Source organism: Homo sapiens, chromosome 4 (genome assembly GCF_000001405.40).
Source record: "Homo sapiens chromosome 4, GRCh38.p14 Primary Assembly".
Taxonomy (NCBI): domain Eukaryota; kingdom Metazoa; phylum Chordata; class Mammalia; order Primates; family Hominidae; genus Homo; species Homo sapiens.
In genome coordinates, this window is record NC_000004.12 from 102,021,805 (window position 1) to 102,039,144 (window position 17,340).

Sequence of the window (17,340 nt, forward strand, 5' to 3'; positions counted from 1 at the left end):
ATACTGATTTTTCCTACCCAGAGGGAATACACAAATAACTCTGTTATGACTATGTGGACTATTTGACAACTACATTTTTAAAGTTTTTTAAAAACTCATAACCACATTATTTGCAGACCTTAGTTTTCTCAGCTATGAAATGAGAATATTGAACTAGAATACTCTCTAAGGTCCTCCCTGGCCCTAATATCTGTGATTCTACATTCTAATGTCTGAAGAATAATTCAGGATGTTCCTACATGTATATAAACGTATATGTGTATATAAATGTATATATATACACATATATACATGTATATATAAACGTGTATATATACGCGTTTATATGTGTACGTAAACTCCACCCATTATGCCAGGCTTTATTGGCATACAGCTCAACAGCTTCACCAGCATGTTTGGTAGGAATCTCACATCCAACATTTTTGAAAGTTCGGATTCCTGCCATTGCCAAACCTCTCCACCTGCTGACTTCCCCATCTCAGTAAGTGAAAACTCCTTCCCTCCTTTGTTCAAGTCAGTTAAAAAATGCTTGAAAGTCATCCTTGGCATTTTTACTTTCTCTCCTACCCCATATGCAATCAGTCTTACAATACTGTTGACTCTGCCTTCAAAACATTCCCAGCATTCAGCCATTTCTCTCCCCTTTCATTATCCTAGTCCACACCATCATCAGTTCTCCCCTTGTTTACTGCAATAACACAGTGGAGAACTGGAGGGTCATTGTCACTTCCTACATTGCAAGCTTGGCAATGAACGGAAATTGTTCTATTGTTATGACTCAGGAGGGAGGATTGCTACTGGTATTTATTGGGTAGAGATAGAAGGACTGCTGCTAAATAATGTATAGGACGCCTTCAATAGCAACTTCCACATTTGTTGCCTCTGATATTCTACACTTCATGAAAGGACTAAACACCTTTCATGAAGGACTAAACACTCTTCTGCTCCAAATCCTCCAATATCTCCCCATTGTACTCATAACCTTTCTCATCCCCTACAAGGCCCTAATCTTTGTGTTCCCATCTCTCACCATTATCTTACTCATTCACAAACCAATAATGTGCCTGCCTCAGGGCATTTGCACTTTCTATTCCTTCTGTACACTTTCTCCTTATATGCTCAATAGTTGCTTCATCACTTCTTTCTTCGTTTTATGACACCCTACTCTTCATTTCACTTTACCTGCTCCTTTTCTTCATTGCACTTATCAACATTTAATATGATATATTATTTATCTGGTTGTTGTTTATTGCCTGTATTCTCTTTCTAAATCACATGCTCAAAGGGATTAGGGCTTTTTATTCACTGTTTTGATTGTATCCCCAGTACCTGTAACAGAACATAGTCTATGCCCAATGAAACATTATTGACCACAAGTTTTTCAAATGATGGGGACCTGCAAATCAAATAAAGTTAAATACAAGTAAATGCCTTCACTAGCATACTTTGGCAAAATTAGTAAACTCTTCAAGTTATTGCAGGACACAAAAAATGCTAAATATTAAATTAATGGATTAATGCACCAAGCTTTAAAGTTATACATCTTATCATTTAAATTATAATAAAAGTGATTATAAAGGCCATGATTGAAAATGACCATATATTTATCATGACGTTTAATTTTCAGAAGAATTGACTGTAATAATAAAACATTATTTCAATTCTTTATAAAGAAAAATTTCACTTTTGCAGTTTGAAACTACAAACTCTCTTGTATATGAAACTGTGTGTGACTGGGCTCAAGCCAGTCTCTTTCATGAGTGAGAGGGTGAAGCACAGAACCCTAGCTCAGTGGATTTCCATTGGTATTACCATTACAACAAAGCATGCTAAAACACACCAACTCATTAAATCTGACTTTCCGGGGCTGAAACCCAAGTTTGGGCATATTTGATGACAAGTACCATTCAGATTCTGTTGCTTATTCAGTATTAAGAAACACTGAATATATAAGCAGAAGTGTGGCTAAGAATAATTTCCTATAGCGTGAATGTAATTCTGAGTTGATGACTGATTTGCCCATACAGAAATAATAAAGTTCCTTTGCTAGCCTGAGCAATAATTTTTTCCATCCATTCCATCATCTACTCCATCAGCATTTCTAGAGACTACTTCATTTCAGGCTTAGTGTTTTGTGTTAAGGATAGAAAAATGAATGAGATCTGTGCAGATAGATTGTACAAAAACAAATAACTATCCACTCTGCCCATGCTGGTAATTAAAGAATCTTGGTTTAGTTTTAGTACTGGAAACTGTATCTTTCTTCTTTCTCACATGAAAGAATAGAAAAACAAAAAAAGAAAATTCCATATAATAATATGGGCTACCATCATGGGCATGATTTTTCTACATTCTACAGTGTAATTCTTCATTTTAAAGAAGTCTTTCTTCTCTACATTGTGCTGTTTGGGATTTTAAGCTATATTTTAGCTTAGCAACATTTTAATACAGCAATATCTTGCCTTGACAAGGAAAACAATTCACATATTCAAAGGTCTGTTACAGAGGTTCCAAAGTCTGTTTAGAAATTCCAAAAGACTGTTTTAAATTTTTTGAATCCTTTATTTAGAGAATATTTTTATAAAGAAAATTTAATAAAAGTTTTTTCTGAAGATTTAAAGTCATTGCATTATAATTTCTTTTTTTCTGCTTTCTTCCTGAGTGTTTAAAGAGCATTTACTGTATATAATATAAAAACAAATAATGGTATGGTTGTCAGAGTAGAGGGAATTTGGATCATTTGGTTAAATTTCTGGGTAGAATGCATTTATAGGTAAAGAACTGATCCTCAGAAAGATTTACCTACTGTTGGTGATTTACATGCCTTTTTCACCAAAAAAAAATTAACTTTTCCCAAGTAATAGCTCCAAAGTTAATACAGTATCTGTAAATGATTTACTATAAGGAATTATAAAATTATTATAGTTATCTGTAAAGATCAATATATATTAAAATAACTAAATAAGAGTCAGATTCATTTCTATTTATTATTTACAAGCAAGTAAAGGTTTGTGTCTTTTTTCTTTACGTTTTCCATCATTTATTATTTTATTGGGTCAGTTATATTGTTTTCTAATAAAAATGCAAGGATGCTATCAAATATATGAATTTGTTCAAACAATAACTCTAAAGAATCAGAATATCGTTATCTGCATGAGTGTGTCATATACACAGATAGCAAGACATAATGGAGCTTTGACTGTTCATTTGGTAAGTATTTTAAAAACCCAGAAATAAATGACTGTTCACTAAAAGTTACACATTTGACAGCTTTTCACTATATCAGGTCATAAAAGTTTTATTAGCAGTACTACTATTTCTGTACAATTTTATAAAATATGAAATGCCTTCAGATGGTGTGTTTAAATGAAATCATGCAATCTTCATCATAAACAGCCACACAGAACCCAGCATTTCATCATGAAAGCAGGAAGACATACGGGCAGAGTGCAGATGGAGCTGAGGCAAATGAAATGGAAGGGGAAGGAAAACAGAATGGATCAGGCATGGAGACCAAACACAGCCCACTAGAGGTTGGCAGTGAGAGTTCTGAAGACCAGTATGATGACTTGTATGTGTTCATTCCTGGTGCTGATCCAGAAAATAATTCACAAGAGCCACTCATGAGCAGCAGACCTCCTCTCCCCCCGCCGCGACCTGTAGCTAATGCCTTCCAACTGGAAAGACCTCACTTCACCTTACCAGGTAAGTTTAAGGTTAGAAAAAAACAAAACAAAACAAAGACAAATCTTTGACAGGCTTACATAGCAAATAGTGCAGTGGCAAATCTATACAGAGCAGATCAGCTTTTGAAACCAATAGCAACATTCTTCCTATTCTTTAAAAACTAAGGCCTGGGAAATGAGGCAAGAGATACCTACCTCTACCTTGTTCTTTTGTTTCTTATTTCCTTGCTTCCTTCCTTCCTTCCTCCCTCCCTCCCTCCTTCCCTTTCTTCCTTCCTTCTCCCACTTTTTCTCTGTTTCTCTCTTTCTTTCTTCCTTGTCTTATTACAAAGCTTTAAGAGAATAAAACTTGGAAGGAGTCTGTAGTTCTTCACATAAAATGAACCTCAGGCATTCTGTGGAAAAGGAAATACAACATTGCTTTTAAAACATACTCTCAGTCTTCAGACAAAAAGTGAAATGCTAATGATCGACAATTTTCAGATGAACTTGGGTACTTTAATCACTTGGTAGCTGTGGGAGAATTAAGCGTTAAAGGGTTTGTCGCACACTGCACTGACACCAAAGTTTAAAAACACTCTATACACTACCCAAGTGGAAGAAGAGTCAACATAGCTATCACTGGCATTTGTTCCCAGACGAAGGAATTGGGGTGTGGAAAGTGGGTGTGGGGAATCTGTCCTTGCGGAGGGCATGAAGAGGAGCTTCCACATTAGGTTTATCTGCCTGGAGTGTTCAACAGCCTGACAAACTCCCAGCTCCAGGCTCACTCTTACAGTCACAAATTATCATCTACTTTTTGATCATTATTTCATATGTACTTTCCAAATTTATATTTATTTTCCAAATAAAATGTTCTTAAGAAGACAATTTAGTTAAAAAAAAAAAACTCCTTATCAAAACCCCATTTTCACTATAATTTAGTTGTTGGGTCCTAGAAGGCTACAAACCCCATTTTCACTATAATTTAGTTGTTGGGTCCTAGAAGGCTACAAAGTACAAAAACATGACCTTGTTTCAAAAAGTAAATTTTTACGCAATGAAATTTAGTATTTGGGCTGGGCACAGTGGCTCATGCCTGTAATCCCAGCACTTTGGGAGGCCGAGGCAGGCGATTCACCTGAGGTCAGGAGTTCGAGACCAGTCTGACCAACATGGTGAAACCCCCATCTCTACTAAAAATACAAAAATTAGCTGGGCGTGCACCTGTAATGCCAGCAACTGGGGAGGCTGAGGCAGGAGAATCGCTTGAGCCCGGGAGGCGGAGGTTGCAGTGAGCCAAGATCATGCCGCTGCACCCCAGCCTGGGCAACAAGAGTGAGACTCCATCTCAAAAAAAAAAAAAAAAAAAGGAATTTAGCATTTGTGTCATTGAAGGCTCTCTATGAAGACCCAAGTTTACCAACATAAGCTTTATTAAGCTTATGCACTGTATTTAGAGATGGAAAGTACTGCTTAATTGAAAGCTCTGAAGCCTAGTGGATATTCCTCTGATTCATTCATTCATTCAACAGATATTTATTACCTACTATATTTGAAGGTCTTGTGGACCCTCAACATTTATCCATGAAGTAGATATATTAATATTTAGCTATGAGGGGAGAAAACATCATAAGTTAGTAGTACACTGACTACAAAATTCTGGCATATTTTTCTCATTTTTTCAGATCTGAATAATTTGTTATAACAAAATTAATTGTCAAGAAGGTAAAATTGTCTTGTGTCAGATTATTTCTCTTAAAAGTGCTAATATTAAATCATATTTTTCCTAATGTTAATTTCTATATATGGTATGTTGGTTAGCAGGTCTAAAACGACTCTATCAAGGGTCTTCATGAGTTGTCTAAGATCAGAAATGTAATCTTGGATAACATGTCTCCTGAAAACTAGCAAATATAAAAAGCAAAATAAAATAAAAACTCACTTATTTAATTTAAAAACCCTATTTTTACATTTTATATTCAGTGTTACTTTTATCTTTTGATAGTACTGATATTAGAAATGGATAATAAAATGCCGGTATTTTTTCTTAAAAATGTTTTATTGGCCTTTAAATGCAAGGCTGTAAGCTATCACTTATTTGTTTGCCAGAGACTTTGTATGTCTTTGACTTTGGCTAGTGATACCTTCAGGAGTTGTTCTTTATGAGTAGCTTCCATCTGCCATCAAGTTACTGAAGGAAAAAAAAAAAAAAGCCTTCTCCTCAGTGCTGTAGGCATCAAATTCCTCACAGTGGATTTACGGACTTCTTCATTGGAGAAACTAATAACATATAATACTATAGAGCACTTTACAGTTTATAAAGAACCCATGGTTTCTTTTTAACCCAAGAATCCTGGAAAGTAATTATCGGATCCCTCCTTGACTCAGTTCCAAGAAGCCCTATAATTAGAATGTGTCAGTTGCTTCTATTAACAGGTCTCCTAGGCTATTAGGATTTTTCTCTTTTTTATACAGTCTTGACCCAATTACTTCAAAAGTTGGAATTATGGAAGTGATTTGTTTTAATCTTTCTTTATTGATATACCACCTGAATTCAGAAAGCTTAGGTCCCACTCTTAACTGAAAAGTATTATCTGATACTTTGGAAAATAAAAAGTAAAATGTATTATTTCTAGTGCAAGCCCAACTTTAGAAATGTTGGGAAGGGAGGTGGGTGGGGAAACAAAGAGAGTTAAGAGCTCAGGAAATCGGTTCATAAACGTAAGATGGTTGACACATTCCGCTAAAAATGAAACACTGAAAAAGTGGTTCCCACACACTTAATCTGTTTTCACCTGTGTTGCTGTCAGTGAACCAGAAGTCATAAAGTCAAAATCTTAAAACCATATTATTCATAGGATAAAAGGCAAGCCGTGGTGAATTGAAAGTTAGTGCTAGGCACATCGGTAATTAATACTTCTTAAGTTAAACTAAATGAAACTATAAGAGTTAAGACTCTGTTGGGAGATTATCTTAATCTCGCCTCATAATCTTACCCAAGGCAATTGCTGAATCTTTCTATAATATCCTTTTATTCTGCTCTGCTACTTGTCTTTCCCCTTTTAAGTTTTTCCACTAAAATCTTCATAAGTAAACTAATTTTAGGAGTATCAGATTCTCGAAGGGCAAATTCAAAAAAGAATGAAAATGAAAGAAAAAGCCTTCATTGGCCTTGTAGAGAGCCATTAAAATTCTTTTTAATTTACTTGTTAATCAAAGCATATTATATCTGTTATTAATAACTGCTACAAAAATATTTTAACATATTCTTATAAAAATATGTCAAGATATTACTGTATGGAAAAATCATCAAAGACTCTGAAACCTATAATTTTATTCTTTTCATGTGAATTCATTCTCACACCATTGATCATCCATGCTGTCTTTTATGTCATGAACTCTACTTTCAGTGTCTTTCATCTGTTTTTTATTTGTTTTTTTTTTGTTTGTTTTTATTTTTGAGGCACGATCTTGCTCTGTTGCCCAGTCTGGAGTGCAATGGCATGCCTATAGCTCACTATAGCCTCAAACTCTTGGGCTAAAGCAATCCTTTCTCCTCAATTTCTGGAGTAGCTAGGAGTACTCGCCACCTAGCTAATTCTTTTATTTTTGTAGATACTAGGTCTCACTAGGCTGCTCTCAAATTCCTGGCCTCCAGCTATCCTCTTACCTCAGCCTCCCAAAGCATTGGGATTAGGCACAGAAGCCATTGGCCAGTGTCCTTTATCTATGAATAAGGCCCATGTTGGCTTGTAGAAAACAAAAGCTGCATTTCTGAAGGTCAGTTTGTCATAGTCAAAGACCGACTGCTATGAAACCAACTAATGGTGCCTTTGGCTATTTCTCCCTGTCATTTTCAGAGAAATTAAATTTTAGGTGAAATATCCAGTGCAAGCAATATGAAACATGAAACAACTTCAAATGAAAAAAAAAATCTAAGAATATTATGCTTGAAAAACACAAGTTTTCAAAGCTGTGGAGTTTCAGACATAGATTTATAACTTGATTTTCTGATATGAAATCATTCTTTATATGTAAAAGTATATATAATATATAAAATAATATATAAAGGTATATTTAATACATATAATTATATTTTATACATTAAATATTTATATATGAAATAATATATAAAAATAATATATATATATTGCTCTCTCTCTACACAAAATAATATGGAAAGTATTTAAATGTTTTAAAAAATTCCATGTCTTAAGCACATGGATTTTTTTACTACACGTATTTGTCTTAATACAATTTAAACTACAAAGTGCAGGATGATTTATTAGTAAGTTACACAGCTCACTTTTTCTGCATTTAGGGGGTGACATATAAATTATTCTCCTGGAGTCACGAGCTCTTCTCTAATACTGTTTCCTACGGCACTTGACTAAGCCACCTTGGGAAGCTCAAAAAAGTGACAGATGGACACCAATAATGTTGCATGTAACAGAAGAGTAAACACCATGTAAATATTTCATAAACAGGGACAATGGTGGAAGGCCAAATGGAAAGAAGTCAAAACTGGGGTCATCCTGGTGTTAGACAAGAAACAGGAGATGAACCCAAAGGAGAAAAAGAGAAGAAAGAAGAGGAAAAAGAGCAGGAGGAGGAAGAAGACCCATATACTTTTGCTGAGATTGATGACAGTGAATATGACATGATATTGGCCAATCTGAGTATAAAGAAAAAAACTGGGAGTCGGTCTTTCATTATAAATAGACCTCCTGCCCCCACACCCCGACCCACAAGTATACCTCCAAAAGAGGAAACTACACCTTACATAGCTCAAGGTAATTATCATTGTTGTTTGTTTACTTGTTAATTTTTTTTGTCCAAAATTTTGAGGATGGGAGGAGGGGATAAGGTGATGCAATTAATGCTCTAAAACTCCAAAGAGTAAACATTTTTTTTCAAGTCACAGCTAAGCTATACTGGCTCATTTTTTTTCCACTAAGAGTATTTTTTTATTATTATTATACTTTAAGTTCTGGGGTACATGTGCAGAACGTGCAGTCTTGTTACTAGGTATGTGCATGCCATGGTAGTCTGCTGTACCCATCAACCCGTCACCTACATTGGGTATTTCTCCTAATGTTATCTCTCCCCCAGCCCCCCACCCCGCAACAGGCCCCAGTGTGTGATATTCATATTCCCCACCCTGTGTCCATGTGTTCTCATCTTTCAACTCCCACTTATGAGTGAGAACATGCAGTGTTTGGTTTTCTGTTCTCGTGATAGTTTGCTGAGAATGATGGTTTCCAGCATCATCCATGTCCCTGCAAAGGACATGAACTCATCCTTTTTTATGGCTGCATAGTATTCCATGGTGTATATATGCCACATTTTCTTTATCCAGTCTACTATTGATGGACATTTGGGTTGGTTCCAAGTCTTTGCTATTATGAATAGTGCCACAATAAACATACATGTGCATGTGTCTTTATAGTAGAATGATTTATAATACTTTGGGTATATACCCAGTAATGGGATTGCTGGGTCAAATGGTATTTCTAGTTCTAGATCCTTGAGGAATCGCCACACTGTCTTCCACAATGATTGAACTAATTTACACTCCCACCAACAGTGTAAAAGCATCCCTGTTTCTCCACATCCTCACCAGCATCTGTTGTTTCCTGACTTTTTAATGGTTGCCATTCTAACTGGTGTGAGATGGTATCTCACTGTGGTTTCGATTTGCATTTCTCTGATGACCAGTGATGATGAGCATTTTTTCAAGTGTCCGTTGGCTGCATAAATGTCTTCTTTTGAGAAGTATCTGTTCATATCCTTTGCCCACTTTTTTGATGGGGGGTTGTTTTTTCTTGTAAATTTGTTTAAGTTCTTTGTAGATTCTGGATATTAGCCCTTTGTCAGGTGGATAAATTGCCAAAATTTTCTCCCACTCTGTAGGTTGCGTGTTCACTCTGATGATAGTTTCTTTTGCTGTGCAGAAGCGCTTTAGTTTAATTAGATCCCATTTGTCAATTTTGTCTTTTGTTGTCATTGCTTTTGGTGTTTTAGACATGAAGTCCTTGCCCATGTACTGGCTCATTTTTAAATTTAGAAACATAGTGAGTAAAGAAAATAAGAATGATGGATTGAGTTCCGGTTTCTACTTCCTCATTAAAAAGGATAATGACAAGTCTTTCAGGGAACATGAAACCATAGGATATATGTAGAAATTCTCCTTGATACTTCCTTCCTAATTCTATAAGAAAGATGCTCAACTCCTATAAATAATATGCAACACAAGAACATTTAAATATATACCACAGATCCACCTAAGAGAAACATAATTACTCATATATACTTAATATTTTCAAAAGAAACCATTCTGTTCCTTAAGCTGCATGTATGTATTAAGAGATTCATATAAGAAAATTTAGCAAGCACGTATAAAGTATTTATCAGTATAAAATACACTTATTTAATGATGATCTTCTCTTGATATTGTTCAAGAAACTATAACAAATTAGGAAACTATAGCAAATTAATCAACTGTTTCAGCTGAAATAAAACATGAATTGGAACAGTTGTCTAGATTATAGATTATAAAGTCAGGGAATGAACTTTTGCTAGAAATTCTCAGGTTGTCTCTCATAGTTTAATATCTCTAGGGTATTACTATCTCCTTGACAAAGTTGCTAAATACCAGTAAATACTTTTAAAAGAGAAAGTGGATATAGCTTGATACAAAAAGTTAGTTATACTCTAGAAATTTTTGAAGAAATACCTCATCTTCTATATTCCAATGCCTAGGGAGTTTCTCAGGACAAGAATGGAATCCCATGTTGTGTTCGTCTACCGTTTGGCCGTTATCTTCCCATCCTTCTATTGATGGTCATATTCTTGTTCTCCAAGATCTCTGTCTTGTTCTCTGTTGTTCTTTTTTGTAGAATTCTTTTCTCTTTTAGGTGGGTACAGAGAGATATAATTCAATATCTTTGTTACTGATTTTGCTTCATTGTGTTTTGATTTGTTTTTAAATTTCTTTTGTTCTTACTTTTCCTTCTGCTCTCATATTGTCTCTGTTGTCTTTACTTGTTTGTTCTGCCTGTAACATTTGATACTTCCATCAAATATGGCTATTCTTAGCTATGTTTTCATGTTTAACAATGAAGCACCGGCCGGGCATGGTGGATCATGTCTGTAATCCCAGCACTTTGGGAGGCCGAGGCAGGTGGATCACCTGAGGTCAGGAATTCAAGACCAGCCTGGCTAACATGATGAAACCCCGTCTCTACTAAAAATACAAAAAAGTTACCCAGGCATGGTGGCAGGTACCTGTAATGTCAGCTACTCAGGAGGCTGAGGCAGGAGAATAGCTTGAACCCAGGAGTCGGAGGTTGTAGTGAGCCAACATCGCACCACTCCACTCCAGCCTGAGCGACAGAGTGAGACTCCATCAAAAAATATAAAAATAAAAAAAAAAAATGAAGCACCAAATGCCTCAATGGAAACTCTACTTTTTAACTTATGGACAGCATTGTAGGGTAATTAGGAAGTAGGTAACCAGCTTTTTCATTGGATGGCCCCAAAATATTATTTATGTAAGTCTATTCACCTATGCTTTTAACTTTTTCTAGAATACTCTTCAACTAACTGTAGTCTGCACTTACATATCCAGTTCCCAGCATGCTGAGATTAGAATGCGGGAAAAAGACTGGGAAATTTCACCATTCAGAATGCACAATTTAACTTGTTCTCCCTGTTTTCCGTCTCGTATGTAATTCCTGCCACCCAGTGTGCCTTGTGTACCATGTCCAAAACTACTTCTGTTCAATTTCTCTAATGAAGAACCCTCCCATTATGGGTGAGTGCTTCAATTCACAGGACTGGAGAAAGAACTTGGGGCCATGACTGGTTTAGGCTTTCAACCCATCCCTAAGTAAAATAAGTACATTTGGATGGTTTTCCTTTCATTGATTTATTTATTAGTTACATAAACATCGATTGAGTGCCAATGATAAAACCTGTGTACTAAGTTTATTTATTAGTTACATAAACATCGATTGAGTGCCAATGATAAAACCTGTGTCCTAAGTATGTAAATTTTGTACATGCAATGTTGCAATTTGTCCTGTAGGTATATGCACACGTAGAAACATTAAAGAATCTTAAAGATCTTCAGTTTCTAATAAATTTTAAAGTTTACTTATCTCACCCATCCCAAGACTGGCACCCTTCAATATTTATAAGTTGTCGTTCTAATTCAATGATAACAATATAATTTACTCTCATTATATTTGTATTACATGGAGATGAAAACTAGTGCTATAATTTTTTTTGGCAATTAAGTATATAAAATAGGTATGGTTATTTACCCTGTATCCCAAATAAGTAGCAAAAGCTGGACTACAAATAATGTCACCAAAATCCTTTTCCATTTTTTATTTCCTTTTCTCTTTCACTGGGATATACTTGCCTGCCTTTTTCTTTTATGCAATTGATTGTTGATCATTCTGTTCCCACATTAGGAAGAGATTACCTCATCAGCTAATTCATTCTTGGTGTTCTTTGCATTTCACAGAGTAAGAGCCTTTCCTCACATCTTTCCTTTTTTTTTTCCCCTAGCTTGGGCAGATCTATTAAGTCAAGTTGCCACCATTTCCCAGAAAACCATTCACTCAATTAGAAGATTAATTTCTGGCCCCATTGCTTGCCAGAGCCCAAAAATGGTATCAGTATATTGGTGTATTCAGGGTGTGTTAATAGCCAGAATGGAAAGATTGGGAATAGAAGATAGAGGAAAAATACAGGAATGCAGAATCCCATCTTACTATTTCAGAAACTGAAGAAGTAATGGCAAAGGAACTAGGCAAAGGAAAACCATGCTGGCTTTGCAGAAAGACTTGTGTCCAAATTTAGCTGATATTACCCAAGCAAGCAAATTCACGTATCTGAGACTGAATTTCCTCACTGTAAGCTGGGGATACAAATATATATTTCAAAGATTTTTAATCTCTAAATGAGATAAAATTAGAAAATACCCAGCACAATACTTGACATGTGGTATATGTTCAATGCATTATAATTAAAACAATTCTACTTTTTCTTTTCTCAGTTTAGTGTCTGTTTCTTGGATTCTGGTGGAATCAGAAGTTAGGGAAAATAGTAGTGCTGGAGTGTGTGAGGGAAGGAAGACCCTGTATTCTAACAGAACAAGTTGGCTTAGTCATCTTCTTATAATAATTATCATTAGGCAGCTTTCATGATAATTGCTAATTCATGCAATAACCCCACATAGTTGGCATTGATAACTTCATTTTAGAGATAAAGAAACTAATGCTCAGTAAGTGCCAACGTCTTTCCCAAAGTGATAAAACCAGGAAGAGGAAGAGGCAGGATTTGGACCCAGATTAATCTGGATCTCATGCCTGAGTACATGGCACCACAAATTTCCATCACTGATATATTTATTCCTGGATTACTTGTTAATATTTATTTCTTCCTTCTAACCTATAAGATCCATGAAGGAAGAGACCAAACTAATCTGTTTTCCCCATTGTATCTCTGGTGCCAAGATCAGTGCTGAATTCATAGTAGAAACTCTGAATATTTGGTGAATATTAACTGAATGAAATGATAGAAGTGACAAGATCCACATCAGTGTGGGTAGAACAGAAGACTTCATTAACACTCTGGAATCAGAAGACTATATCAGTCTACTGATTCCTAAATTTATCCTGCTTTAAACCATCTTATGTCCAAAACACTACCAATTTGAAGGGAAGAGCCCACACAGAACTGGACAAAGCTCTAGGTTATTCATATACAGCTAAGCACTCTAACTGCTTCCGCAAAGCTTAAAACATGAAGCTCTATTTCACCATCATCATCATCCCCTTACCCCAGAGACATAACTTATTAATGCAAAACTGAACCCATGTTGGCCAGGCACGGTGGCTCACGCCTGTAATCCCAGTACTTTGGGAGGCCGAGGCGGGCGGATCACGAGGTCAGGAGAGTGAGACCATCCTGGCTAACACGGTGAAACCCCGTCTCTACTAAAAATACAAAAAATTAGCCGGGCATGGTGGCGGGTGCCTGTAGTCCCAGCTACTTGGGAGGCTGAGGCAGGAGAATGGCATGAACCCGGGAGGCAGAGCTTGCAGTGATCCGAGATCGCGCCACTGCACTCCAGCCTGGGTGACAGAGCGAGACTCCGTCTCAAAAAAAAAAAAAAAAAACTGAACCCATGTTGATTTTTTTTATCAAGATATATGTTTCTGATTTTTTATCCCATTGCTGTTGTACTAAGCCAGATCTTAGGTTAACAATCACAAGAATAACTCATTTTTCATAAGTAAAATTTTTTGAAGTCTACCTGTTTTCAGATATATTTTCCTCTACTTTTTTTTTTATCCCTGTAATATTGAAGAGGATCGGGTTCATTAAGCTTGAAGAATACAGAGGAATTAACATGGATGTATGGTCTTTAGTGACAGAATTCTTGATTTAAGACAAATCAGGGAAAGAAAATGAGCACTTGGCATGGCATAGATACATTGGTAGTGAAACTACGTCCATAAATCATGCAAAGAGATGAATGCCTATTGGGTAAAATTTTTCAGCATCAATGGGCAATTTTCTATTTTCCTCACACACAATTAATAGAACAAAGATCTTTCTTCAGAATCCATGTGACTGATTTCTGGTAGAATATAATTTCCCTTTCAATTTCCAATTGCTACTGAGTTGCCCTTGGCATTTTGCAGTGCAACAAAGTTGTATGTGACCTTTTTGAGAGCTACTCAGCTACAGGGAACCCAAAATGTCAAGTGCAACTCACTTGCTCTCAGAAGTTTTCCACTTGCAATTCACTTGTACTTGAAATTGATCACATACAATGCAATTGAAATGCAAAAAGAGAAAAAAGACCTTGTAGAAACTGTTAGGAAAATTTATTCATATCATTGTAAACGTGACAGAGTATAATGGTCTCTGTCCTCATTAGTAAAATACGGTCAAGTGGATTGAAGTAGGTCTTAGATCAACTGCCTTGGATCCTCCTCCCTGGATAGGTGACCTTGTCCAAACCATTTAGTTTAAGGACATAGTATGTATATCACAGGTGCTCTCAGAATAGTGACATATTTATCATTATTTGTAAGCCTCATGTTCCTGTTTTTCTCCCTTGACTCTGCCTCATTCTTTTCCATGAGAGAGTGCTGGTGTAGCTCTGCAAAGGAGAAATTATTCTGACCTGTGTTCATACTGTCCATTGAAGAGAAGCAAGTCAGCTCGTGTAACCCAGGTGTTCTTGTTTGCTCTTTCTGTCATTCTCACAGTAGAACATCATGATCCCCTGGCTTCTTCACAGAAATACTGAATGAAACCTGAGAAGTGCTTTGCAGACCATCTGTTAGCATGTTGACGTAATGACGATGAAATTTTCCAGCCTCATCTTCCAAGAATTCAATTCCTTTATATTAGTGAAAATGGGAAGGAGGCAGTAATCAGCTGTAGCGTGAACTGACATTAAAAGATTTTCATTACACAAGACAATGAATGCAAATATTATCAAGCACTTAGATTTTCATTCGACAGCACAATGAATTCTGGTCTTTTTCCACTTAACATATGATGTTACTATTTGTTAAAAGCATCTGTAGGAAGAAGTTTAATTGACCTATAAAAGTAGTTCTTAACTGGCAGTGATTTGCTTCTCATAAGACATTTGTCAATGTCTGGAGACATTTTGATTGTCAAGACTAAGAACAGTACTAGTGACATCTGCTAGGCAGAGACCAAGAATGCTGCTAAATGTCTTACATGCACTGGACAGCCCCATAACAAAGAATTATCCAGTCTAAAGTGTCAACAGTAACACTGTTAAGAAACTCTTACTTGGATTATTTCCATTGTTAAGCCAGAGTAAAGAAATACTTTAGAGAATGATTATTTATAGATGAAATCACAGGTGCATCGAACAACCATATGAAACAGCTATCCACAACTACTGTCTTTTTAGTCACTTTAGATTTCTTGAATTCAGAATATTTTCCACCAGGACTTTTAACACGTGATTCTTTGTAATCTAAATAAGTAGCTCTTCGAGAAAAATAAGATGCTTCCTGAGGTTGGAAAATTGAAAAGAGTCTCCCCTAACGGACCAGCAGCATTGTGTAGTGAAATTCATGAGGATTATGAAGCCAGATGGAACGGAATTTTACTGAAGACTGACACTTACAGTTGTGTAACTTTGTGAAAATTACATAACCTTGCTTCATGTGTTTTTGGTTTTGGTTTTGGTTTTAAAGAAATGTAATACCTACTTCACAGGGTTTTCATGAGAACTAAAACCATATATGTACAGTGGCCTGCACAGGGTAGCATGTAGGAAATGATAGTTCCTGTGATGGAAGGTATTCTGTAGACACAGAGGTGAAAGTAGACCTGGCATATCACCCCAGTTAGGATGCCTTTTGCTTCTTCCCTTTTGCATGGGTTTCATATGCCAACACATCACCTTGCATGACTTTTTCAAAGTATTTATTAACTTCCACTATTGAATACTATCTAGAACAAAGGGGCCAGCCCTATCCTTTTTGAGAGCTTTTTGGAATCCTTTTTGAAATCCTTTTGGAATTTTCAATCTGCATTTATGTAATTTGAATCTTGTTAGCAGAATTAAACTCTAATGTTTGTTCAAAGTGAGCATAATCAAATAGCTGATCTTTAAATTTAAGGGAGAACAAAATATTAGAGTACCAAGTTTTATCATCCTGTGAAATATAACAGTGCAAATCATGATCCCAATGCTACTTCTTGGGACAGCAACATTTCTTGATTGAGGGAGAGGGAGGCAAGTTACTTTTGATAATCACTAAGCATGAACCAAAAAGTAAACTCATTATAGTTTGCAGAGTCTTCCATTGGCTGCCCAAACTACTTCTCTTTGAAACAAAAGAAAATTGCTCAGAATGTTACTAGAGTTATGTCCATACTTATACCATTTCCTTATTGAATACAAATGGGTAATAAGAGAATTAAATAGATGATCCCAAATGAAGTCTCATGGGAGGAGACTAACCCCCAGTCCAGTGCTATACAAGCAATAGTTGTTCAATACATGCTGCCTCCTGCTAACAGGAGGGAGGAAGACTGCTCACCCAGTGGTGACTGGAGGTTTTACTAATAAACGCATTGCCATGGTCTCAAGCTATAATTAGAGCAAGCTCCACAAACCAATTGTCATCACTCAGAATGGCTCACCTTCCTGGATTATAAAAGTTTCTAGAATGTAAATATTTGTGTTTGTATCGAAAGATGACATATGCAAATGAAAACAATTTGTGTTCTACTCTGGTAAAAGTTAGGTCCCTTAGTAGTAGAAAAAAAGATTTATAGTGGGATTTCCCAAATCTTCCTTTAGGAGATGCTTTCAATGATAACACTTCTATCAAACCAAGTTTTTGTTACAACTTGAAAGGAAAATTAATGTTTTCTCCTCTGGAAACTAAAGCAGTTATTAATACCACCACTGAATTAGAATTTTTACGCCATTTTCCTTCATGCAGCAGTGTGTTTTCCACCTTTCCATCTCTGCTTATCTGAATAGTAAGCCGTAACCCAAGTCAGTGATCTCATATATTCTGGCTGACCATTTACAGATTCTTCTTAAAAAAATAATGCCACAACTCCACCTACATACGTCTGCCATGCA

At 36.0% G+C, this 17,340-nt stretch overlaps 1 protein-coding gene across 3 annotated transcripts in view; it reads left to right on the plus strand.

Moving 5' to 3' along the window:
- The window catches only part of BANK1 (B cell scaffold protein with ankyrin repeats 1), a 284,083-nt gene that overhangs the window by 231,075 nt on the left and 35,668 nt on the right, over positions 1–17,340 (plus strand). For all 3 annotated transcript variants that reach the window (NM_017935.5, NM_001127507.3, NM_001083907.3), the window contains 2 exons: positions 3,397–3,705; positions 8,156–8,461. In NM_017935.5, the coding sequence (NP_060405.5) occupies positions 3,397–3,705; positions 8,156–8,461 (615 nt within the window). The remainder of the gene's footprint in view (positions 1–3,396; positions 3,706–8,155; positions 8,462–17,340) is intronic.